Source organism: Homo sapiens, chromosome 6, assembly GCF_000001405.40.
Source record: "Homo sapiens chromosome 6, GRCh38.p14 Primary Assembly".
In the NCBI taxonomy this organism is placed as follows: domain Eukaryota; kingdom Metazoa; phylum Chordata; class Mammalia; order Primates; family Hominidae; genus Homo; species Homo sapiens.
Window position 1 is genome coordinate 2,186,558 of NC_000006.12, and position 25,136 is coordinate 2,211,693.

At 42.6% G+C, this 25,136-nt stretch overlaps 1 protein-coding gene across 10 annotated transcripts in view, besides 1 other annotated feature; it reads right to left on the reverse strand.

Annotated features, from left to right (window-relative positions):
- GMDS (GDP-mannose 4,6-dehydratase) overlaps positions 1–25,136 on the reverse strand; it is a 621,800-nt gene that overhangs the window by 562,752 nt on the left and 33,912 nt on the right. The window lies entirely within an intron of this gene.
- Positions 2,458–2,752: a silencer, noted in NCBI's record as "tiled region #5333; HepG2 Repressive non-DNase unmatched - State 19:H4K20". NCBI's record gives its function as "represses a minimal TATA promoter and a strong SV40 promoter by Sharpr-MPRA in HepG2 cells {active_cell/tissue: HepG2}" and the evidence as "EXISTENCE:reporter gene assay evidence [ECO:0000049][PMID:27701403]".

Here is a 25,136-nt window from a genome sequence, read left to right on the forward strand (position 1 = left end):
TGCTAAAAGAACTTCATCTCTGTATTTGATGTCCCTTCCAGCTGCCTTCAAGCATTTGCTCTAATACACACTGAAGACCATTGTTTAGGTATATTTATTAATTTAGAGAAAAAAAATCCATTCTGTCAAGCAAGTACTAAAAACCACACAACCACCTACACAGTTTCGCTTAGGAGGATCTGACTAATCAAGGTGAAGAACTGAAATTACTGAGTGGTTATGTACTAATTCTCTCACTGTTGGAGTTTAAAACGGGTGCCTAAAAGAAGTCTGTATTTGGATTTGCCACATTGCACAAATAGTATATATACGTGTACATATATTTCATATTTATAATTATGCATGTGGATAAGCTTTATACTTTCGATAAAAAGTCTACTATTAAACATTAGTGATTCTCTATGTTTAAAAACAATAAATGTAAAAACTTTACCAGATCATTAAAACATCCTAAATGATTCTTGCTCTTTAGTCAATCGTATTTCCTATTTTCCTCTATATTGTGTATATTGTATGAATTTTACAATGACAGAGATATTCTTCATTCATCAGCAAAGTTCACAAAAGAAATGGATGAGTAAGTTGGCTTCAGCTGGTCCTTTCTGCACTGAGGCAGGAAGATGTCTCAGGCTGGTGTGCAGGTAAAGCGTTCCTGTCTCAGGCCAAGGAGTGGCCCCTACCTGTCTTCAGATTCTACTTCACTTCTACCCCACTGGTCTGGGATGAAGTCACAGTGGCCTACAAGACCTGTGGGAAGTACGTTTCCTTCTTTTATCACCAGCAAATGTTCATATTTCTCTCAGTTTGGTTTACCTATGGCACCAACAGTCATGTCACAAGCTTGACTCTCATCCAAGCAGACCTAAACTACTCCTTAGAGAAGTAGTGAGCTCTGAGACAAAATGCAAAATGGAAGAAACACAAAAATGCCTCCTCACAGTGTTCTATTTAGAAAAAATTTACATTGAGAGATACAGTGCTTGCTATGCCTCATTTCACTTAATCCACCATGAGATCCTATCCTATGAGAGTGGTGCCACCATCACTCTGCCTACTTTCCAGAAAAGAACATTAAGGTTTAAATTTGAGAAAGCTTTGCTTAAGATGACACATCAAACGAGTAGAACAGTAAAGACTTAAACCCTAGGCTGTGACTTTTGTCTGCCTTTCTTTTACTGCAACAGACAATAGAAAAATAGCATCCACATTAGGAGAAAATGAAGAAAGGTTTTCACACTGAAATTATTTTATTCAAGGAGACTGTTATTTAAAAAGGGCTTCAATAAAATTTCTAAAGAACAGGAAATTGTGGATTCAAACCACCACTCTCGTTTCAGAATCACTATTCAATTCTTGCCTCTAAAATCCTAGGAAACAATATCCACAAGTAATTTGCCTAGGAAAGGAGAACAGTCAAGCCTTCAGCCTCCTTGCAGAGCATTCAGCTTAGGATGGTAATGATTAGCACACTAACCCAGGTCTGTTAATAACTGACAAGTCAATTCCATACACATGCAGGCTGGTTCTCAATTCAGGCTGACAACCTGCTGCATCACTGGGGGCAACATGCCCACCGAGGAGGGGGACTCAAAGCATCAAGAAGCACACACAGAGGCTCCTGCTCTGGAGACAGCTGGAGTACAAATCCGGTTATTTTACCCAAATGCTCAGAAATGTCTCCTCAGACACAAAGTCCAATTTAGCTGAAATGCATCAATGGCCAAAAAATAATTTTAGCTTTCTTATTCAACACCTTAATTCCAAAACCAAAGGTAATTTAGCACTGCCTATAAAAACAGTATCAGCAACCTTCTTTTAGTCTCCCCAGCTGCCTCATCTGGGATGTCTGAAACTATCATATGCTGGTCACTAATCCATCTCTCCCCTTGAGAGCCAAAGGGAAAAAATGCTATTTTGATATGGACGGGGATTCATTACTGAAGTAGGAAAAAGTAGTTAAGAGGTTTTAATTCGTACTCTTTGCAGCAATGAAGTATGTTCCAGGTAATTTCACTTCTAAAGATTTCAAGTTATTGCTTCATCGACAATGGTTAGGTTCCTCACTAAGTGTCAGGATATCAAGATGACAAGTCTTGATTCTCAAGGAATTTACTGTCCCATCATAATGATAAGCCAATAACTGACTGATTATAACATACAACAGAAGACTGCGAGGCAGGCGAGGGCACATGTTGCAAAGGAGGAACCATGAGGCCTTCTAAGTGCATGAAATTTGAGCTGGGTTATAAGGAATGGTGGGAGAGCCACAGGTGAGGACGTGGAAGAGGCTGCCATACCCAGAAACAACAAGGTGGGCCCTGGAGAAAGATCAGCAGGGTAAGGTAAGAGAACACTCAACAGCCCACTATGGCCAAAGCTTGCCATACATAGAAGAGAGAGAACTGGGGTGACCGTGTCACAAAGCTAGAACACTTGGCTGAAGAGCTGAACTCAGTATCAGAAGGCTGCTCTAAGAAAACAAATTTCATAGTTATATGAACTGGTGGAGAACACTGAATCCAGTAAAACCAATGAGACTGCAAAATACCAAGTGAGGGTTAATAAAAACATGGACAGGAAAGGGACAAGGATAGATAAGAAAAATGAAAGAGACAGAACACACGGTGACTGGTCTGAGGGAAAAAAGGGAGCAGAAAACTGTTCAAAGGCAACTGGTGTTTTGAGTCTGGGTTACAGGGAGGTTAGCCAAGCAAACAACAGAGGTAGGAGTAGGTTGAGAGGAAGGAGACCGTCAGGGGTGCAGATGGGTTGTTTTACCTGTGGTGACTTTCAGATTTAGGGAGAGATTTAGAGATATCAAATGGACAACTGGAGATGCAGGAGAATCTTATATGCGGAGGGTTAATTTTTCAGTCCATAATGGTGATTCCCAAATCCATATGACCATCAGAATCAGCTGGGGAACCTGTCCTCCCCCAAAAGTCCCACCCTAAGAAATCCTAAGTAAATCTGGGATGGGGCCCAGGAATCCTATGATTTAGAAGCCCAGGGTGGGAGCCACTGCCCTCTGTGCTCTGCTCACTCTGCACTTCATAATCTCCTGCCTTCATAGTTCTGAATATACATCCAGAGCATTTTTCTGGGGGAAGGGACATTTGCAGAATGTGAAACTAGTACACTGCTCTGGAGGATTGGAAGCACACTCTCACATTTGAAAATAATTACTTCTCAGTCTGTATTCTACCCGTTCTGGGGAATGGCTTTGATATGCTACTACATAACTGATGGTCTAGGTCGGCAAAGTAACAACTACTACAACACAGAGATCAATTCTGCTCAAACTTAAAGTGACCAAGATAACTCATGACTCCAGGACTACTGGGTTGGTAACAATGTGTAGTAAGAGCGTTTCTGTTTTAATAATGGAGCGCAGTGAGATTATGGGGTAACTCGTGGTATCAAATGTGAACCTTTTATAGACTCCTGGCTCCAAGTCCTTTCACTACTCCCATCTCCTTTTCCACCCCATCAAGGTGAGATCATTAAGCTCAGGAAGGCAGCTCAGCCAACGGAAAACATTCAACCTTCAACTTTTAATAAAGTACAAAATGCTTTTATTTTATATTTTATTTCTGAAAATAACCACATCAGGGAAAAAAGAGCAAATGTGGAATGGGAACCTGACATTGCAAACTATGGGAATTTTATTTTTTAAACGTTTCTAATAAAAGCAAATATAGTTTAGTATGACTAACCCTAACCCCATTTTGATTGCTTGTTTTCTCACTTTTGTTTAAAAAAATAGTAAAAGGAAACCTTTTATGCACTCACTATAATATACTGTGAAATTCACATAAAATTTCTCATTTAATTCTCACAGTTATTCTGCTCTGTAAGTAATCTCATGATCCTCACTTCTACAGATAAAAACACCAAGGCTCAGACAAGTCATGTTTTTGCTCAAGGTCTCACTTCTCATGGGGGAAGAACTAGAATTCCCACCCAGTGTTTCCTGAGGTCAGTGTCCTCTCGGACAGGACCCCAAGAGGCTGCCACAATTTGGGAGAGAATACTTTTTTCTGGATTCCACCAGCGGCCAAGTTACCTCACCCTCCCTGACACAGCACATGTTTTTTTGCAAAAAAGACTGCACTCTCTTGGGGAAGGAAACCAGTGGCACCATCCTCCACTTGGCAGCACCTATCACTGCCTATCACAAAGAAGGTTCTTAACAGTCCTATTGATGGCAGCAGGGGGCTGTCCACGGCAGGGGAGGCGTGGGTGGTGGCGGGAGGCGGCAGCAGGAGCGGCTGCAGGAGCAGCAATGGCAAAGGTGGGTCCCCTGTGCCCCGTGTCCCCAAGGCAGCAAACTGTGCTGCCCCCACCCTCATGTGGCCAGGCAGGACCCGCTCCCAGGCCTGGAACATCAGTGGCTCCGGACCCTAGCCCCACACCACCACTCTCACCCACAACTGCTGCGGGGAGGGCACCAGGAGGAGGCAGCACTGGGGGACCCAGGGCGGGAGGGGGAAATGGGAGCAGTGCCCACTACAGGGACCCAGCCAGTGGTGCGGTCACCACGCCCACTGCACCAAGGGTGCCGTGTTCTTGCGCCCCCAGAGAGGACTCTGCACAGGGCCACCCACAGCCATGTCCCCAGGGGTCCGCCCCGCATGGGGTGACCACCGGGCCTGACACTCCCGACCCGCTATCCGCTCCTGGAGGCACCCCCTGGGGAAGGGCCGCAAGCGGGATGAGGGGGAGCTCTAGGCTGCCCCTGAGTGCGGGGGCCACGGGGGAGCTCACAGTGATGTCCCTGGACACCAGCCCAGGCCCAGCAAGGACCTAGAGCCCCCAGGCTGCAAGGGGGCACAGCTGGGACTTCCCGCTTCATGGAACCGGGAGCCAGGAGCAGGCACCAGCCCTGCCCTCCCAGACACATCTGCAGCCGCCCAGGTGGGGCTGTGGACCCGGGCCTCTCTGCACTCTTGGGGGCCCTGGAAGGCCCCCGCCTTGCCCTTGCAGGCTCGGAGGTGCCTACCTCCACTGTCTGGCCTCTCCCCGCTCCAGGCACCTGCTATGATCTCCGAATGGGGTTGGGGCCAAGCCGGGGAGCTGTCACAGCCCAGCCAGGTATGTGAGGGTCCTGCCACCTCAGCTCCCTCCAGACTCTGTGTGCTGACAAGCATGGGATGTGGAACCTAGGGGGACACTGAGAGCAGCTTGATGCTGGCCTGCAGGTACCCCATGGATGAGCAGCCTGGGTACCACAGACCATGGCAGGAAGCAGACAGGCTCCGGGGTGGAAGGGGGTAGGTCCCTGGTGAGACCCCACCTTCAGGCCAGGGAGGGCATGAAGGCTGGGAGCCAGGCCACCAGTCCCACAGACCACACTGCAGGCTTATGGTGACTTTTCTGGGCCTGCCCATGACCACCCATGGACCAACTGGCACACACTTCCTCCACTCTGAGGCCCATAAAAGCCCCGGGCTCAGCTAGAGCAGGGCAGGGGATGGGGAGAAGATGAGATGACCAGATGCAGAGAGGAGCTACTCTCTCTGCTAAGAGCTGCAGAGACAATGGGACAAGCTGCCTACAGAGAGAAGCCACCCACTCTAGGGCCTCCTCTGTGCCGACAGCTGCAGACTACAGGAGCTACCCTCTCTGCTGACAGCTGAACACTTGTTGGGATGACCAGCTGCAGAGAGGAGCTACCCTCTCTGCTAGGAGCTGAACACTCATCGGGACACCCTGGCTATGGAGAGGAGCTGCCCACTGTGGGTCTTCTCTGAGCTGTTCTATTACTCAATAAAGCTCCTCTTTGCCTTGCTCACCCTCCACTTGTCTGCGTACCTCAGTCTTCCTGGTCACAAGACAAGAACTCAGGACCCACTAAATGGCAAGGCTAAAAGAGCTGTAACACACACAGGGCTGAAACATGCTCCTCACTCATCAAATTGCAGGTGAAGAGGGGAGAACAGCTGTGGTCCTTCAAGGAGCCCTGACCTGGGAGCTCCCCAAGCCAGGGCTGTGACTCCTTCTTTGGGGCCCCATGGTTCCTGGCATCTCCAAGCTTCTGGGAGCCATTGCATTCCTTGGTGCCAGCTGGGGAAGCTGTCTGCAGTGCACCTGGTCCAGCCGCAGCCTCACAGAGAGCCAGTGCCCATGCTGGCACCTAGAGCTGACAGCCCCACAGCAGCAGCCAGCATGTCTGACTGTGCAGTAGCCCAACCCCGCACTCACTCACACACGTCTTGCCAGTCCACGCCTGACTCAGTCTCCCTTGGAGGTGTGGGATCCAGGCCGGTACCATGAGCTAAGTGCAGCCTGCCAGGCCAAGTGGGAGGAACAAGCCCAGCAGGCCCAAACAAAAGTTGGACAAAGACACCACTGGCCACAGCTTTCCAACCAGAAAAATGACACCCCAAAGATCCTGTAACACTATTTCCAGAAAGTGGCAGAGAAATGTGCTAGGGCTTAACCATTGGCTCTGATAGCCCTCATCCCAGGATCCCTAAGGAGGGTTTTGGGAATTTGTGAACGTTTCAGTTGTCACAATCACTGGGGGATGCTACTGGCACTGAGTGGGTGGAAACCAGGAACACTAGAGGTCCTAAGACACCCAGGACAGTCTGCACGGCCAAAGACTTCTGCATTCCTCACAACTTCCTCAAGTCCTGCTGAATATTCACGTGGGTAAAAAACCTGTTTATAATTGTCTGAGCGTAAAACCTCACTCAAGTTATTACATAGGCACAACGTATGTGTTACAAAGTATGTGTTAAACAGGAAGACTACCATTTTATTCCAAATTTAACCAAATTTGACCATTTCAAGAAACAATGACACCAACAGCACACCACCAGTGCTTGCTGAGTCTCCACTGCCATCCACGTGCCACAGTCTGCATCTGCAGCTGCCACAGCAGGGATGCTCCCAAAGTGTGGCCTCTGAGCAGTTCCTCCACACCCTAGGCAGCAGGGTCTCCACATCTGAATACTGAGATGCAAGTTCTCCTGGCAAACAACTTGCTTTTCATTTCCTTTTTCACTGTCATAAAAAGGGTATATGGATTTTTTTAAATAACATGTGTAATTAGGATATGTTATTCACAAATTTCATTTTAGGATTGTAAAGGTGGCAAATACACATGAAATAGCCAGATGGATTCCTGGAATAGTGGAAGCTTAGTGAAAATGCTATTTTTTTTTTTTTTTTTTTTTTGAGATGGAGTCTCGCTCTGTTGCCAGGCTGGAGTGCAGTGGCGCGATCTCGGCTCACTGCAAGCTCTACCTCCCAGGTTCACGCCATTCTCCTGCCTCAGCCTCCCAAGTAGGTGGAACTACAGGCATCCACCACCACGCCCAGCTAATTTTTTGTATTTTTAGTAGAGATGGGGTTTCACCATGTTAGCCAGGATGGTCTCCATCTCCTGACCTCATGATCCACCCGCTCGGCCTCCCAAAGTGCTGGATTACAGGCGTGAGCCACCGCGTCCAGCCAAAAATGCTATTTTTTTTTAAAAAAAAAGAAGCATTATAAATATGATGTGTCTTTCTCAATTCAGCATGATGTAAGTCAAGTTAGGTAGTTCCCATGCCTCAGGAAATCCTGGCTTAATCTCAGCTCTGTCAGCAGTTTGGACTGTGTGTGTGTGTGAGGGGAGGAAAAGGCATCTATTGATTAAGGTGCTTCTGTATTCTCCATTGAGTTCTTCTTGAGTTCAAGGTTAATTTTTTAAATCACTGTAATCTTTGAATGTTCTTTAAAAGAACATTAAAGCAGAGAGAAATGGCATTATAATATTCACAATACAAAAAATTAAGACTTGTAAAGAAGAGTGAAGAAAGTTGGGGAAAATATGCTTCATGATTCTTAAAGGTCGATTCCTCATGGAATATATTTTAAACATACACACATACATATATAGTTGTTTAAACCCAATAAATAAACATTTCAGCTAAAAGTATTATAACACTAAATTATATCTTTAAGCATTTTTACCAATTTTACTTCCTTACTTTATCAATCATGTTTCACATCTCTAATTTCTTTATCATTATAACAAATTTCAATTTTTATATCAAGATACCAATATAAATAAAAGACAATTAAGGTTAAAAAGTGCTACACGCACACACTTTTTGGTTATTTTATTTCCTAAACATGGAAGAGGGGAAAACACAAACAATTTCTTCCACACGTGTCACACACAGTAAACATTCTTTCAAATCACGTCAGTTTCCTTGACAAAAATTAATACCTTAATAAAGATCCATTGTTTAAAACTCTTGGTTACCACTTGGCTAGCCATGCATAAAACAGGACAATTAGTACAGTCAACTGAACATTATCAAGACTTTCAGACACAGTGACACTGTTCCAGCCAAGCACAGTAGTGATGTTCCGTGAATGCTGCTCTGTCAGCCACAATTACCCCTTAAACAGCCTTTGGAATTATCAGCCTGTACTTTGCTAAAAAGAAAAAGAAAACATTATTTTAAATAATATCAATAAAAATCTTTGTTTCCTTTCTGAGGTAATTATACACACATGAAGTTAGCAAGGGTAAAATCATAGTAATTTTAAAACACATGCTTAAAAGCTTGCATCTTTTCTCCAGTAAAAGCTTTAACCAGACTTAGTATAAAGAAAAAACGGATTTGAATTTCACTGTCTTTTCCTTTTTCTTCTTCTGTAGAAGCGATAGTACTTAATGATTCTGTTCAAAAATTCTGAAGCAAAAAGACCTAGACAAATAGGAAATTAGACGTTACATTTTTGAAGAAGTGTTTTATTTTCCATTATTCCTTAAGGCTATCAGGCCAAAAAAAAAAAAATCTATTCCAAGAACTCTGTGATTCAAATATAAAAAGTATGAGAACCAAAACTGAGATGCTATGCCTTGGTCTGCTGAGAACTGTGATAATTTTCTTGAACTTTGCTGCATATATATTCTAAAGTAAAGCAAATACTTTGACATTTTATTCTTTTTATCCTAATGTAAGTGGAAAGCTACAAAGCAACTTCCTTTTCAGGGGATAAAGTAAGTTTTTAAAAGCCTTCTTTGGAAATAATTAAGTCCATAAAAATTACATGTTGATTTCTTAGGTATTATGTGTCCTTCTTTTTTTCTAAAGAATGAAGGTATAAAATAAGACAATGTAAACCATGGCAACAAGGTTGGGTATGGCAGCTCATGCCTATAACCCCAGCTCTTTGGGAGGCCAAACCAGAAGGCTGGCTTGATACCAGGAGTTTGAAACCACCCTGGGCAACATAAGAAAGACCTTGTCTCTACCAAAAAAAAAAAAAAAGTTAATAAAAATAAATATATAAATAATAAATCATGCTGACAGTTTAAATTTCAACAGTGAAGTTAAACATCTATCTATTAATTTCATTTGCAACTGTGGAGAGTATATGCCAAAATAAATATATACATATATAAGTAAATAATCATAACATCCCAAGATGACAATTGGGGACTGATTTCAGCCAAAACACAAATAATGTCTAAGTTTTTATTTTATTAAGCAAAACATAAGTTTGTGCCCAAAAACTTACAAACATTAGTAACAGTTCAAAACAGTCAATCTTCTACTTTAGCATTCTAAGATTGTGTAAAAAACTAGATAAATTATTACAATGGTTTATATTAAATGGTCTCCCTGAAGTACAAAGCAACTGCAAAACTATAATTATCAAGGACTAAAACACGCAGATGCTATATACTTGAGCCACCTGGTGGTTTATTTCCCTCACTGCACTGATAAACACCTAGTGCTATGCACACAACCTTAATTAGACTCTACAAGTTTTACTTTTGGTGCCAAGACCAGAAAGAGTTTACTTTTACCAAAATGTAGTAATAGTGTGGGTCACAAGGCACAAGTCTACTTGGAAGCACTTAAAAAGTTCACTGTTGCTAAGTACAGAAGGCACTCCTGAAATCTACCATAGCAGGTCTCTAGAACTGTTTTCTTATGTTTTTTTCTACAGTGTTTGATGCCTACAGTAAACATAGAATCCAAAACAAATTCAAATAAACTGCAGATCATGCCTCAGGTTTGCTTGTGGTTTCTTTACCTCTTGCCTAGTTCTGGACAGTTCAGGACAGACCACATTAACTTTTAAAGGTTGCTGTCTTAACTGTCAAGCAAGGTAGTAATAGGTGCTCAGAGATGTTGGTTAAAAAACACAGGAAAAAAAGTTAAACAAAAGTACACTCTGTTACCAAGAGGAAAGCTGCAGAACACCAATCTTTGTGACTCTGACTTCAAATTAGGGACTCTTGGGGTGATCAAGATTTTTATCAAAGCAGAATGTGTCCAAAGCATACCTTTATCTTCAAGCTTACTAGCCTAACAGCTGGAGTGCATTAGACAGGAGCCATGACAATTCTAATGATAATGGTGGTGATGACTTGATTCTAAACGGATACTTGTCAAAAAGCCAGTGAAAATTTAAGCCTTTTAACTAGTAAAAGGGTTGCAAGTTAAACCTCTGTGTCCAGCAGCAGTCCCACACCCTTCCTAGGAGAAGCAACTTCCTCAATTTAAGTTTCAATAATGTCTTATGTGAAGAACGAATAAAGTCAGTATTAAATAATGTCATTAGCAAACTGACACATCCATTATGATAACTGTTCCCATTACTGGCTTTAGTAGGAGGTGATGCCAGAGGCTCTCCCGCACCATAAGGCAAAGCGCTTCATGTCCCTGACTCATCCAAGCGACTCAAGGCCGCCCAGCTCTCCAAGTGGAAACACTGAGTGGGAAGGAGGCTCTCAAAGGATGCCTCTATTCCTCCTCCCGCCCAGGTTCTTGGTGGAGGGTAGATGCTATTAAAAGACTAGTTTCCTGAGGAAGGTAGATAGTTTCAGGGAAAGACCATTTGGCTGGAAGGAGGAGGCTTTGTTGCCAGCTGTTTCTCCAGCTCCACTGCCTGTGTGGTCCCAAGTAAGTTGCTAAACCTGACCACGTCAAGGGCCAGGTCTATAAAAATGATGACATTTCCCGTAAAAGGGCCTGCCTGGCCCTGCACCATTTGCCTTCACAAGGGAGCACTGCACTAGAGAAGCTCTGGCTTTGCTGTGAACAAATCAAAAAGTGACACATGGGCTTGGCATTTTCCTCCATGCAAATCAAAGTATCCCATTTCCCTGAAACACTTTAACAGGATAATATGGCTTTAATTTTCCACACTTCCTAATTCTGGGTGCTAACAGGACACAGCCGCCTTGTGAGAGAAACAATGGCACAAGTAGGGATGGCAAAGGAAGACACCCCTCTCATGGAAGCCACGTTCTCACAGAGGAGCCCATTCTGCAGGGCTAAAAGGCAGATTTTACTTTCTGTCATTCATTTCCTCAAGCTGTTATTGAGAAACAACACAGGTACCAGTGGAGGATGCGTGCATTAGAGTCAGAAAGCCAGGTCTCCCCAAATCCCATCTCTATCATTTACCATCGGGGAGACACTGTACAAAGTAACTTCTCTGATCATTCCTATCCCCATCTATAAAATGGAAATGATGCACATCGTGCCACAGGCTTACTGTGAACGAATGATGGGAAAGTGTGTGAAATTTACTAAAATAAGCAGCCACTGGAAGGGAGCCTGAGACCAGGACCAGCCAATGAGAAAAGTAACGAAGAATGCAGAACTTGCAGCAGGAGCTAAAGGGTAATTTCCTGGCCATGATGACAAATCTGGCTATGTATACACAGATGCATATGCCTGTACACATTATACAGATACATGTAATTCCTGAAGAAGGGGCTGCCTGTCAACAGGCATATCCTCACTTCCTGCCTCAAAATAGGAAAAAAATATTTGTTAGGAAATGAAATACATCCAAAATATTTGAGAAAGGGTTTGAGGAACATCCCATAAACCAATGTACCTTGTGTCCCCTTCAATTCTGTTTTTCTTTTCTAAAATGTCAAAGTATGCTAAGACTCTTCAATGACCAAAAGGTCCAAGTTTATATGAGTTTTTAATCATGTTCCAGAGATCACTGGATAAGAAACAAATAAACAAAAAAAAAAAAACAAGAGAATTAAGCAATAAAGAAAAGTAATGCTGCAGAGAAGAAATGAATAAGAAAAATTTCATTTTACTGCTACGAGGTATTTTACAAAATCAGAAAATTATGTTTGCCTGTGCGAAACTGGAAAATATTAGAACTGCTGAAACTTCTATACCACATCAGACTTCTCAACAAGTTCAAGAAAAACTAAGCATTTTGAAATGCATGGTGTCTGGAATAGAAAGGGTAGCAATTGTGGATCCTAAACCAGAAGAATTATACTAGTCTATCTACAGAGGTGTCTCTAGCCTAGCTCTAAGACCACAATTGGTTAGAATGAGAACAGGTAGAAAACAGACCATTCATAAAGTCAATAATTCAGGCTTGGTAATGGCTTACAGCTTTGCTTATGATGTCCTTATATCAAGTGTTTGCCATTGCTAACCTAAAGAGAACATACAACTATCTTTATACATAAAGCTGAATCTCTAATCATCTACCCATTTTCCTATCCTAAAATATTTCAAAATGTAATTCCCTAATTCATATTAAAAACTTCATATTCAACATTATTCATTTCTTATTGGACATAATGGTATAAATATTTAGACTAATTTACCTTTTGTTTTTAACTTCATGTCCACAATACATGGTGGTGTTTACTCATTAATCAAGATTTTCCTAAACTCCATTTAATGAAAATATTTAGTTTTATGGATGGCAACAAAGTATTATACTCAAATATCTCTGTTGGACCTTAACAGGAACCCAAAATAAATTAATTCTCTGACACAACAACTCACAGGCAGCCAGAAATCTTTATAAAATACAAATCAAATGTCATTCCATTGGCTTCCCATTTCTAATGGAATAAAATATAAACCTGATACAATGGCCTACACAATCCATTTACTTTCTGCCTTCAAATGCCTCCACTCTCTGTCCTCGCTGCTCTCCCCACTCACTGCTCCCTCCCCTAAATGTACTGCCACTTTCTCTGTGTTCTAGAATACAGCCTACTCAGGACCTTGGCGCCATCTTTTCCACTGCCTGAAACCCTTCCTCCTCTCCATTTTCAGCTCCTCTGAAGGCCTTCTTACCAACAACTTAATGCAATGCCCCAAGCTCATTTCAATCTCTATTCCTAAGATGATTTTCATGGCTTTTTATCATTTGTTGAAATTATTAGTATCTTCCTTTATTTCAGTCTTCTTCATTCAAGTATCAACTTAAAAGCAGAACACTTGTCTGCTTGTTAACCACTTTTCAGCAGTACCTAGAAATAGTACCAGGTACAGAGCAGATACAGGAATATTTATCAAAAATAAATAAATGAGTGAGAAGTCTAAGAATTAAGGATTTCTAAAAGATAAAGCCTACAAACCTAAGCTATATATGGTAAATGCTATTCCATACCATAGCAAATTAGAAACATTACAGGATTGTATGTTATACATATGAACACTGTGATCTGGAAATCTCTGCCTTGTACAAATAGCTCTAGAATATATTCATTCATTTATTAAACAAATATTTATTGCACATCCACTGTGTCAGATATTATTCTAGGCAGCAGAGACTCCAGCAGTAAACAGAACACTCTACACTGAGGAAGTTTATTCTGTAGACAAGGGACACAGACGAGAAACAAATACATGTGCCAGGTGATGAAAAGTGCTATAGGAAAAAACACAGCAGTGTAAGAGAGTGGAAGGGATGGGAGCCTCAGTAGAAGATGACATGTTAGCAGAGAGGCGAAGGATGAAGACAGAACACCACATGCACATCCGAGATGAAACAATCTAGGCAGTGAGGGCAGCATGTTAGCAGAGAGGTGAAGGATGAAGACAGAACACCACATGGACATCCGAGATGTAACCATCCAGGCAGTGAGGGCAGCATGTTAGCAGAGAGGTGAAGGATGAAGAGAGAGCACCACATGGACATCCGAGATGTAACCAACTAGGCAGTGAGGGCATCATGTTAGCAGAGAGGTGAAGGATGAAGAGAGAGCACCACATGGACATCCGAGATGTAACCATCTAGGCAGTGAGGGCAGCATGTTAGCAGAGAGGCGAAGGATGAAGACAGAACACCACATGCACATCCGAGATGAAACCATCTAGGCAGTGAGGGCAGCATGTTAGCAGAGAGGTGAAGGATGAAGAGAGAGCACCACATGGACATCCGAGATGTAACCATCTAGGCAGTGAGGGCAGCATGTTAGCAGAGAGGTGAAGGATGAAGACAGAGCACCAAATGGGCATCCGAGATGTAACCATCTAGGCAGTGAGGGCAGCATGTTAGCAGAGAGGTGAAGGATGAAGAGAGAGCACCAAATGGGCATCCGAAATGTAACCATCTAGGCAGTGAGGGCAGCATGTTAGCAGAGAGATGAAGGATGAAGACAGAGCACCACATGGGCATCCGAGATGAACCAATCTAGGCAGTGAGGGCAGCATGTTAGCAGAGACGTGAAGGATGAAGACAGAGCACCACATGGGCATCCGAGATGAAACCATCTAGGCAGTGAGGGCAGCATGTTAGCAGAGGGGTGAAAGATGAAGAGAGAGCACCACATGAGCATCCGAGATGAAACCATCTAGGCAGTGAGGGCAGCATGTTAGCAGAGAGGTGAGGGATGAAGAGAGAGCACCACATGGACATCCGAGATGTAACAACCATCTAGGCAGTGAGGGCAGCATGTTAGCAGAGAGGTGAAGGATGAAGACAGAACACCACATGCGCATCCGAGATGAAACCATCTAGGCAGTGAGGGCAGCATGTTAGCAGAGAGGTGAAGGATGAAGAGAGAGCACCACATGCACATCTGAGATGAAACCATCTAGGCAGTGAGGGCAGCATGTTAGCAGAGAGGTGAAGGATGAAGAGAGAGCACCACATGCACATCTGAGATGAAACCATCTAGGCAGTGAGGGCAGCATGTTAGCAGAGAGGTGAAGGATGAAGAGAGAGCACCACATGGGCATCCGAGATGAAACCATCTAGGCAGTGAGGGCAGCATGTTAGCAGAGAGGTGAAGGATGAAGACAGAACACCACATGGACATCCGAGATGAAACCATCTAGGCAGTGAGGGCAGCATGTTAGCAGAGAGGTGAAGGATGAAGAGAGAGCACCACATGGGCATCCGAGATGAAACCATCTAGGCAGTGAGGGCAGCATGTTAGCAGAGAGGTGAAGGATGAAGACAGAGCACCACATGGGCATCCGAGATGTAACCATCTAGGCAGTGAGGACAGCATGTTAGCAGAGAGGCGAAGGATGAAGAGAGAGCACCACATGGGCATCCGAGATGAAACCATCTAGGCAGTGAGGGCAGCATGTTAGCAGGGAGGTGAAGGATGAAGAGAGAGCACCACATGGACATCCGAGATGAAACCATCTAGGCAGTGAGGGCAGCATGTTAGCAGAGAGGTGAAGGATGAAGAGAGAGCACCACATGGGCATCCGAGATGAAACCATCTAGGCAGTGAGGGCAGCGCGTTAGCAGAGAGGTGAAGGATGAAGAGAGAGCACCACATGCACATCCGAGATGTAACCATCTAGGCAGTGAGGGCAGCATGTTAGCAGAGAGGTGAAGGATGAAGAGAGAGCACCACATGGACATCCGAGATGTAACCATCTAGGCAGTGAGGGCAGCATGTTAGCAGAGAGGTGAAGGATGAAGAGAGAGCACCACATGGACATCCGAGATGAAACCATCTAGGCAGTGAGGGCAGCATGTTAGCAGAGAGGCGAAGGATGAAGACAGAACACCACATGCACATCCGAGATGAAACCATCTAGGCAGTGAGGGCAGCATGTCCTCACTGCACAGTCGAGTAAGCACAGTCGAGTAAGACTGCTGCCAATTTCTTTCTATTTTTTTTTTTTTTTACAGATACAATCTTCTCTGACATTGATATGCTTACATGTCTGGTTTCAACTCAAATGCTTATTTGACAACCTCTTAATTCTCTCCGTGCCTCAGTTGCAGAGGAGGGGACAGGCTGATGGAAGAGAATGGAGTTAATTGATGGAAACTGAGTAAGGTGGGAACAGTCACGGTAGCTCATAGGCTCAGAGACTGGCCTCGTGGCCTATGTCCTGGCAAGGGAAGGGAGCTACTGCATGAAAGAGCTATTGAATCTGACATGATGCCACGTCTGTTGTGGTTTACCTGGATAGAATGGGCTGTTTCTGCCTTGAAATGCCTCCTGCTGCAATAAAGATAAGCTATGACCCTGGTTCTGGACCACAGTGGAGAGAGGGGATGGAGCAGAGACGGAAACAAAGAAGGTTCCAGATTGTGAGCTTGGTCCTAAAGAAGCAGTCATGGCATCTTACACTTGACAGGGTCTGCAGAAAGTCACCCTGAATCAAGCAATAAAGGCGCCTGGGTCTGGGCTGTGCACCCCCTTTGGCCAGAAGTATCCTGCCACATTTTCATTTGCAAGGTTTCTAAGAACCGTTCTTGGTGTGTCTTGAATGGCTCATACTTGTTAACTTTACAGGAATGTGTGTTCATAGGAAGCCTGTTAATCAAATTGCCAACATAAATTACTTTTCCTCATTTTTGAAGGCTTGTCCAATTAATAAAAGGCCGATGCTTATGTACTGGAGTTACTTTAGGCCACTGGGGGGTTGGGGGGTAGTTAACGTTTATTGATTCAATGTAGTTTTTCCTGTCACTTTGAGGACATTTATTCAATTTTGAAATGAAAAATGATGGTAAAATTGGAAAAAAAATATGTAAGAAACTTATGAAAAACAATTCTCCAATTTAAAAATAATACGGCCTTCCCTGTCGGGCTTTGCTGCCAGCTGTTATTTAAACTTGTATGCTCCTGCCTAGTGAGAGTCAGCAGCTGAGAGTCTTGTATTAGCAGGAAACCAGGGCATTTATGATGGAGTTCCTGTTATTGACTTATTCTTAGACAAAATGCCAAGTTTCTTTGGACAGTACAGTAGGCCCACTGTGGAAGCACAGTGTGAATACTGGTGTGACATTTAGGCTATGATTTTTTTTTTATGTGTCCAGATTTTTTAAATAACTTTTAAAACAATGTTTTCTGTAATGATTTGGAGACAGTGGTTAACACTACGAAAAAAAAATGTGTTTTTAAAATAGAATCTAACTGGTATACCAAAGAAATATAAGTAGTTTACGCTGATTCCAATAACTCTACCAGGTTTTCTTCACAGGTGGGTACATTTTAGTAGAAAACCTTGCTGTAGGCTGGGAGGAAGGCAGGTGAAACATCATCGCAATAGCACAGGGAATGAAAACTGTAAATGATCACACGATTTCACATGGAAAAAGGCATTTTGTAAGACTAAAGATTATTGTAGACCAACATACATCAGCATTTAACGTTTTCCTTAATTGAGGGTGGGAGGGTGTGATTTCCCTTGAAGCTAAGCAGAGGTATCTCTGGAAAACCTGACTTTACAAATTTTCTTAATTTGGGTGACTAACATTCTTAAGGAAACTTATTTCAGGAAACTACAAAACTAGCATCCTAGTTGTCTTTATTTTGATAGGGTTAGGGATAGGGTTAAGATTCACACCATTTTCTCTACATGCCAAGTATACATCATCAATCACCACAGCTGTGGGCTGGTCTGTGATCGGGTCATTTTCCCGGCCCTCTTTATGTTTGCCTTTCCACAGGTAGAGTTAATTTTTTTACCAAGAAGTGCTCCTGCCCACTTTGTCATCTCCCTTCTTCCCCCAAATCTTGTCCAATGCTCTCTCATCCCTCTACTACTGTAATGCAACAATTAAATAGCAATGATTCCATTTACTATCTTCCTGCATACATCCCTTATGTGTAAAGGATACCCTTTCACTCATTCAACTAATATTTACCAAATATTGCTCATGTGCCAAATGCTGCTTTAGGCATGTAGGGACAGTGTTATGATACGAAGTCCCTGCATTTACAAGCTCACCTTCCAGAGCTGTGCTATTCAATACAGTAGCTACTAACCACAAGTGGCTACTTAAATCAATTAAAATGAAATAAAATTAGAAATTCAGTTGTGCAATTGCATCAGTCATATTTCAAGTGCTCAATAACTACACGTGGCTAGAGGCTGTTATTTCAGATGGTGCAGAACGGAGCATTCCCATCATTGCAGAAAATTTTATTGGCCAGCACTTCCCTAGTGGACAGGTTACCTTTATCACTGATGGTTTTGACCAGTTTACAAGACCAAGGATCATCATATAATGTCCCTTTCGCCTACTGGTAAAAGGTGGCAAACTATTTAGCTCCACAACTTGACCACAGCACTCTTTTTTAAGCCCATGCTTGTGTTAGGGGCCATTTTTCTGTTATCTCCTACATAATTACCATAATGCTAAAATTTATGAATACCATTTGTTTCTGTAACAAAAGTCAATCTATACTATGTGTGGTTTGATGAAGAACTTTTTCTAATATTGAATTTTTTTTACGTCTAAAGTTTTACAAAGAAAAATAATTATGACATTTATTGAGCATTTGCTGTCGCTGGATATTGTCCTAAACCCTTTAACAGAGTTTTTCTCACTTAATTCTCTCAGCAATCCCAAAGGTGGATGTTAATAACACCATTTTACAAATGAAAATTTTGAAGATACAGCATAACTTGGTTAAAGCCAAGTTATCAGTGGATAGTTGCAAAGCTGAAGCAATCAACCCAGAGCTGTATGTTCTTTGCTTTTAAATGCTACTATTCCCCATCCTCTACCTAAGTTCACCATTAGTTGCATATAAAACTCCCCCATTGAAAAGTTCATCTCCTTAAGTTCAATCCTGTAGCAAATCCCACACATCCTGCCGCCTTCTTACCATGTCCTCTAATCCAAAGCACACTGTCCTTGTGTCCAGACTATTCTAACAGCCTCCTAACTGGTCTCCCTTCTTCCAGCGTGGCCCTCTGGAGTAGCTTCTATAAAGCTGCCAGAATGAGGATTACATCACAAATCAGATCCTAATTCTTTTCTATTTAATAGCTCCCATTTGTTTCCGATTCCAATTAGAATGACATCCAAATGCCTACATTCTTACAAGTCCTGCACAATGCAGCCCTTGCGATATGCAGAGATGTTACCAAAGAAGTTCTTATGCTGGAGCCACTGCATCTCTGCTTCCATCTCTTCCATCTACCCCCACAGATTGCTACAAGTTGGACTCTTTTTCACTCTTCAGTCCAAGCCTTCAGGGTGTGTGTGTGGGGGGGGAGGGGGGTGTTGTAGGCTTTTGTGTGTAAGTGTGACAGAGAGGTTTTTGATAATGATATCAATTTCTTTAATAGATATGCTACCACACGTGTGTTCTGTTTCATGATAAGTCAGTTTAGGCTGGTTGTCCTTTTTCAAGCAACTTGTCCATTTTTCACTGTAACAGTTTGGTGGCAGTATAAAAGCACAGACGGCTGGGTGCAGTGGCTCACACCTGTAATCTCAGCGCTTTGGGAGGCCAAGGCGGGCAGATCACCCAAGGTCAGGAGTTCGAGACCAGCCTGACCAACATGGAGAAATCATGTCTCTACTAAAAATACAAAATTAGCCGGGCGTGGTGGCACATGCCTGTAATCCCAGCTACTCAGGAGGCTGAGGCAGGAGAATCGCTTGAACCCGGGAGGCAGAGGTTGTGGTGAGCCAAGATCACACCATTGCACTCCAACCTGGGCAACAAGAGCAAAACTCCATCTCAAGAAAAAAAAAAGCCCGGACATCCAACTCTGAAATGAGTTTTCCCATTCAAGCAAAGTGTTGTTATCTTTAATATCGGATGCTTCTGGGTTCTCAACCCAAGTGGAGTGTGGTCAGACTCCAGGGGTGCCTCTGGGAGGCTCTAGGAGGCACTGAAGACCTATGCCCACTCCTTCATAGGTCTACTTGTCTCTTGCATGAATTCATGCATCTTTTGATGTATTCATTTGTCCATTCAGTAGTAAATAAGAGGAAACAAGTTGAACAGAGTCCAAGTGGTTATTTTCATCAACTTTGTCAAACTCAACCATCACTGTCACCTGACCAACCTCATATTCATATACCACTTTGAGTATCAAGATGCAGAAGACCATATAGCAGTGGTTCTTAAACTTTAGGCTGCATCCAAGTCACTCATTCAGACTGCTGGGCCCCACCCCTCAGAGCTCTGGCTTGGTAGGTCAAAATGTGGGCCTAAGATTCCAAACAAATTCCCAGATTGATGCCGGTATTGCTGATCTGAGGAAACACTATGGGAACCACTGCTTTAAAGTATTTCCAGGTATATTTGTTTAGGAACAGTACAGATGATATTCCTTAGTCTGAGGATGTCCTTACCTGTTATCTGAAATTACTCCAGCAGTCCATCAGAGCCATGAAGGGAGAATAAGCACAGGGGTGAACTACTGAAAACCACACTCCCAGAAGTCTTAGTGGTGGTATTCACAGCCATGCCATGAGGTCAGAGAAAACATAAGTTTTACTTATAAGGTCATGAAAACATAAGCTTTACTCTATTAGGATTAGGTGAAGCTGCACATAAGTTAGAATCCAACACACATCATGTAAAAGAAGTCTGATGGTAGCCAGTCAAGAACTGCTGATTACGGGGTCAACAATAATCAATGACCTAGGTAGCCTCCTTCTATATCTGGCTTCTACCCTCAAGTTTATGTCACCAATGAAAACTGCTGCTGGAGCTCCAGACATCACATCCATGTACCAAGAAACAGAAAAGCAGAAGGTAAAGGCACAGGGGACATGTCTCCCAACTCTCAACTTCCTTTAAGCAGGCTTTCCAGAAGTTCCACAAAGCACTGTCACTTATGTTCATTGGCCAGAATTGAATCACAGTCACATTTACTGCTAAGGAAGCTGGAAAATGTCATCATTTAATTAAGCTCAGTGTTCACCCCAAATAATATAGGGATTGTATTTTTAAGGAGGAAGTGAAGACTAACTGGTTGTCCATGCCACAATGACAACAAACTACTGAGCTTATAACATTAGAGTTTAGAATTGTAATCAAACTTACAAAATCTGTATTGGATTCAAATTGCCCATTAACTTGTCTGCATTGTTCCTAGGACGGTTTTGTTCCTAGCACCTAGCAGATGCTCAGTAAATATTTGTTGAAGGAATGAATACTACCCCTAAGAGCAATTCGCCTATTGTTACGTAAAAATAAAAGTGATTCTCATTTTAGATCACCCCTTCCCCTCTGGAAATTACAGTCCTGCCCATTTGAAGTTTCTGCAGGGAAGACTGTAAGGTTAACATGGCCACAGGCAATTTTCTTAATAACTAAGGGACACAGTAAATTCCTCTCAACAGGAAAATATTGAGAAGATTTCTCTAAAACAGGATCTTGAGAACCAAGAAATTAAGCATATATATGTTTGCCAAGTTAGTAGCTTTTTCCAGGCATATGAAAAACCCAGTCAGGAAAGATGAGGTGGAAAAGGCAGACAGGTATTCCCTTCCCAGATTAGAAAAGTTTTACTTATAAGGTCATGAAAACATAAGCTTTACTCTGTTAGGATTAGGTGAAGCTGTGCATAAGTTAGAACCCAACACACATCATGTAAGAGAAGTCTGATGGTAGCCAGTCAAGAACTGCTGATTACGGGGTCAACGATAATCAATGACCTAGGTAGCCTCCTTCTATATCTGGCTTCTACCCTCAAGTTTACGCCATCACCCAAAACTGCTGCTGGAGCAGTTTAGATTAGAAAAGATTTATCCATCATTTTCAGGAGACTTGTTCTGTTACCAGCTGCATCACAGCTGAACAGTGCAGTTAGCTTATCTACATTCAATATTCCGTTTTACAGATGACACAATTGTCACAAAGAAAGGCTAAGCAACTCACCTAAGGATAAATATCAAATCATAGCAAAGCTAAAAACAGAAGCTACTATTTCTGATCGCCAGTCCATACTTTTTACAGTCACAGGAAAATTGTAGAGTATTATATACAAGCTGTACAGACAATTTTCCCACAGCTTGCAGGGCCACAAAGAGGTGGTACTGATGGAGGCCCACATATGTTAGATGCTTCTAAGAAACTGTCTGCATAATTATTCAAAACACTTTCCCATAGATTTATGGCAGCCCAAACTGTGGAAGAGCTCAATGTAGCTGAAATACCCGAAGGAAAGTAAAAGCACTTTAGAAAATAGCTTGCCCAAGATGTGGTAATTTGAGAAGCCATAATTTTAGAAAGAGCATGTTTTACTATTTTCTTCAAGTTAAACACATTTTGCTAAACGATTATCACTAACTGAATTCTAAGGCCGGTACAGTGGGCTACATTAAAAAAAAAAAAAAAACTATTAGGCAATCTAATGTTCTCATCAGTAGCACAGGTAACAACTACGTGTCTGACCCAAGCTGTCCTGTCCAAGCATAAGAGCAAGAATATTACCAAACTTAATTCTCAAGCTCAGTTTTAGAAACCTCTTCCATCACTTCAAGAAAACTGTTTTGGATCCCCACCTCCTTCATGTTAACAGCACATGGTTAAGTGTTCAGCAGGGCATTGCAAAATAAAAAAAGAAATCAAGATTTATTAGATAAGCCCATGACTCCATAATCAGACTTCTTATAACATCTTTTGAGATTACTTCCTAACTATTCTGGTGTTAAAATATCCTTTATTTTAAATGATGGGAACCCAAAATACACTTGGTTGAAAAAATAAGAGCACTGGTTGCCCCACAGTGAACCTGAAATTAGTACATACTGTGGGGGTAGAGGCTACTAGTTAAGGAAATAAAAAAGTCTGGGCCACTGAACACAATGTACTCTGCAGATCTGATGTTTTAAGCAGCCTCAGCTCAATGGCAAATGCCAGAACTGGCTGACTAGCTCACCTTCCCCCTGCAGGGGGAGTAGTCCCGCACAATAGGCAGGTGTTAGCCAAGATGCCTTGACCACAGTGGGTACTCACACACCTGCTGTCAGTTTTCAAGTGCCAAGTCAAACCTTGCATGTAATGTATCTCTAATACACATACATACACATACACATACACACACACACACACACACACACACACACACACGTTCTCTCTCTCTCTCTCTCTCTGGACTGAATTCTAGAAAACTTCTGCTTATTTTACCTATGTTTAGCATTATCAAACGTGCATTTATAAAACCTCTAGAAGCCAGTAAGTGGCCCTAAAAAAGGACACGTAAGAAAAAATAATTTTAAAATTGGGAGGAAAATCTATCTTCGGGGTTCTAATACGATTTACCACAATGTTTAATGCTAGGCTTAAGACAGATTCTTAAGCTGTTTCAGATAAACCAAGAGGCTAACAGAGCCCAGCTCACACTACCATGGCTGCCAGGCACAGGAAGATAGAACACACACTCCTTACCCAAAGGACCCAAAACCTAGCGTGAAATGATCCGTAAACAAGACAGCCTTAACATATAGAAAGGTGATATATTCTGTTGTATGTAATTAGTGAAAAAGATAATCACTATTCTACACTAGAGAAAACAAAGCTTCATATAAATAAATTTTCTAGCTACTGAAAGTAACCAATTTAGCTCCTGAGTGCCTTTATTATAATCAACAAATTTGTACAGAATATTTCAAAAATCTATTTCCTACTTTCCACAGATTGCATTTTAAGGATGCAAGCTCTGAAACCAGAGTGCCCAGTTAGCATCCCAGGTCCACCACACAAGGCAGGCCAAGTTCATCTCCATAAGCCTCAGTTTCTGCACCTACCTTAGCACACTGTTAAAAGGATTAAATGGCATAATGCACATAAAATACTTAGAACACTTAGCCTGGCAAATAGTAAGTGCTCAATATATTTTACCTATTATTAAGAAAACCTGTAGTGGTCAGGGTTTGTTAACTACCAAGTTATCTAACAAAATCCCCAATGTGCTTACCCATCCTTTCCTGGTGTAACGCAGCCCCAGGAGTGCCTCGAGAATGGACGGGCTAAGACATGAGTATGGGGTTCATTTCAGACCAATGAGACAGGAAAGGAAATCAGCTAGGGGCTTCCAGGAAAGGTCTGCTTACTCCCAAGGTGGGAAAGGAAATCAGCTAGGGGCTCCCAGGAAAGGTCTGCTTACTCCCAAGGTGGGGTAAGAGACAGACAGAGGTGGGCCATGGGCAGTGGTGTCTCCTCCTGAACCCGCATCTCTGGGCACGGCACCTGGAGGGTCTACACCCACCCTCTGCCCTATCACACCACATGTAGTTCATCCCTTTCACGGCACTTAGTGACTAACATGGTTTGGCTCTGTGTCCCCATCCAAATCTCATGTTGAATTGTAATTCCCAGCACTGAGGGAGGGACCTGGTGGGAGATAATTGGATCATGGGGGCGGATGTCCCCCTTTCTGTTCTCGTGATAATGAGTTATCATGAGATCTGATGGTTTAAAAGTGTGTGGCACTTCTCCCTTCACTGTTTCTTCTGATGCCATGTGAAGATGTGCTTGCTTCTCCTTCGCCCTTCCACCATGATTGCAAGTTTCCTGCAGCCTCCCAGGCATACTCCCTGTACAGCCTGCATAACTGTGAGTCAATTAAACCTCTTTTTCTTCATAAATTACCCAGTCTCAGGTAGCTCTTTATAGCAGTGTGAGAACGGACTAACACAGTGATTACCCAAAACAGCTCTGGTTTGTTTACTTCTGTCTTTCCTCTGCCACCACACTAGAAGAGTAAGAGGAATGTTTTTTGGGGATGTGCATTACTAACGCCCCTTACACACGTACTTGACGTCTGGGGCCATGTCTACCACGTTCATTCCCACCTGAACATAGTGGGTGTTCAGCAAATACCTGCTGAAGAAGTAATAAAATAATCTCAAGTATCTATTTGTTTTCCAAATGACATCTGCTTATTTTTAATGTGTATAACACTTTCAATTACTTTCTCCTACAATTCTCTAATTTGCATGTTAAACTTTAGATAAGACTAATTAATAGTAACATCTGCCCTATATGTTTTTTTAAAAAATAGACCCTACATCAAAAGATGTTCAAAATAAACCAAAAGGATGCTCAAATAGGTCTATTTGAAATGCTCAAATAGTCTCACTCCTCTTTGTAGCAAGATCTTCCCCACCAAAAATAACTAGAAAAAATTTTTTAACTCCCAAAGAACACGTAAGGCAGG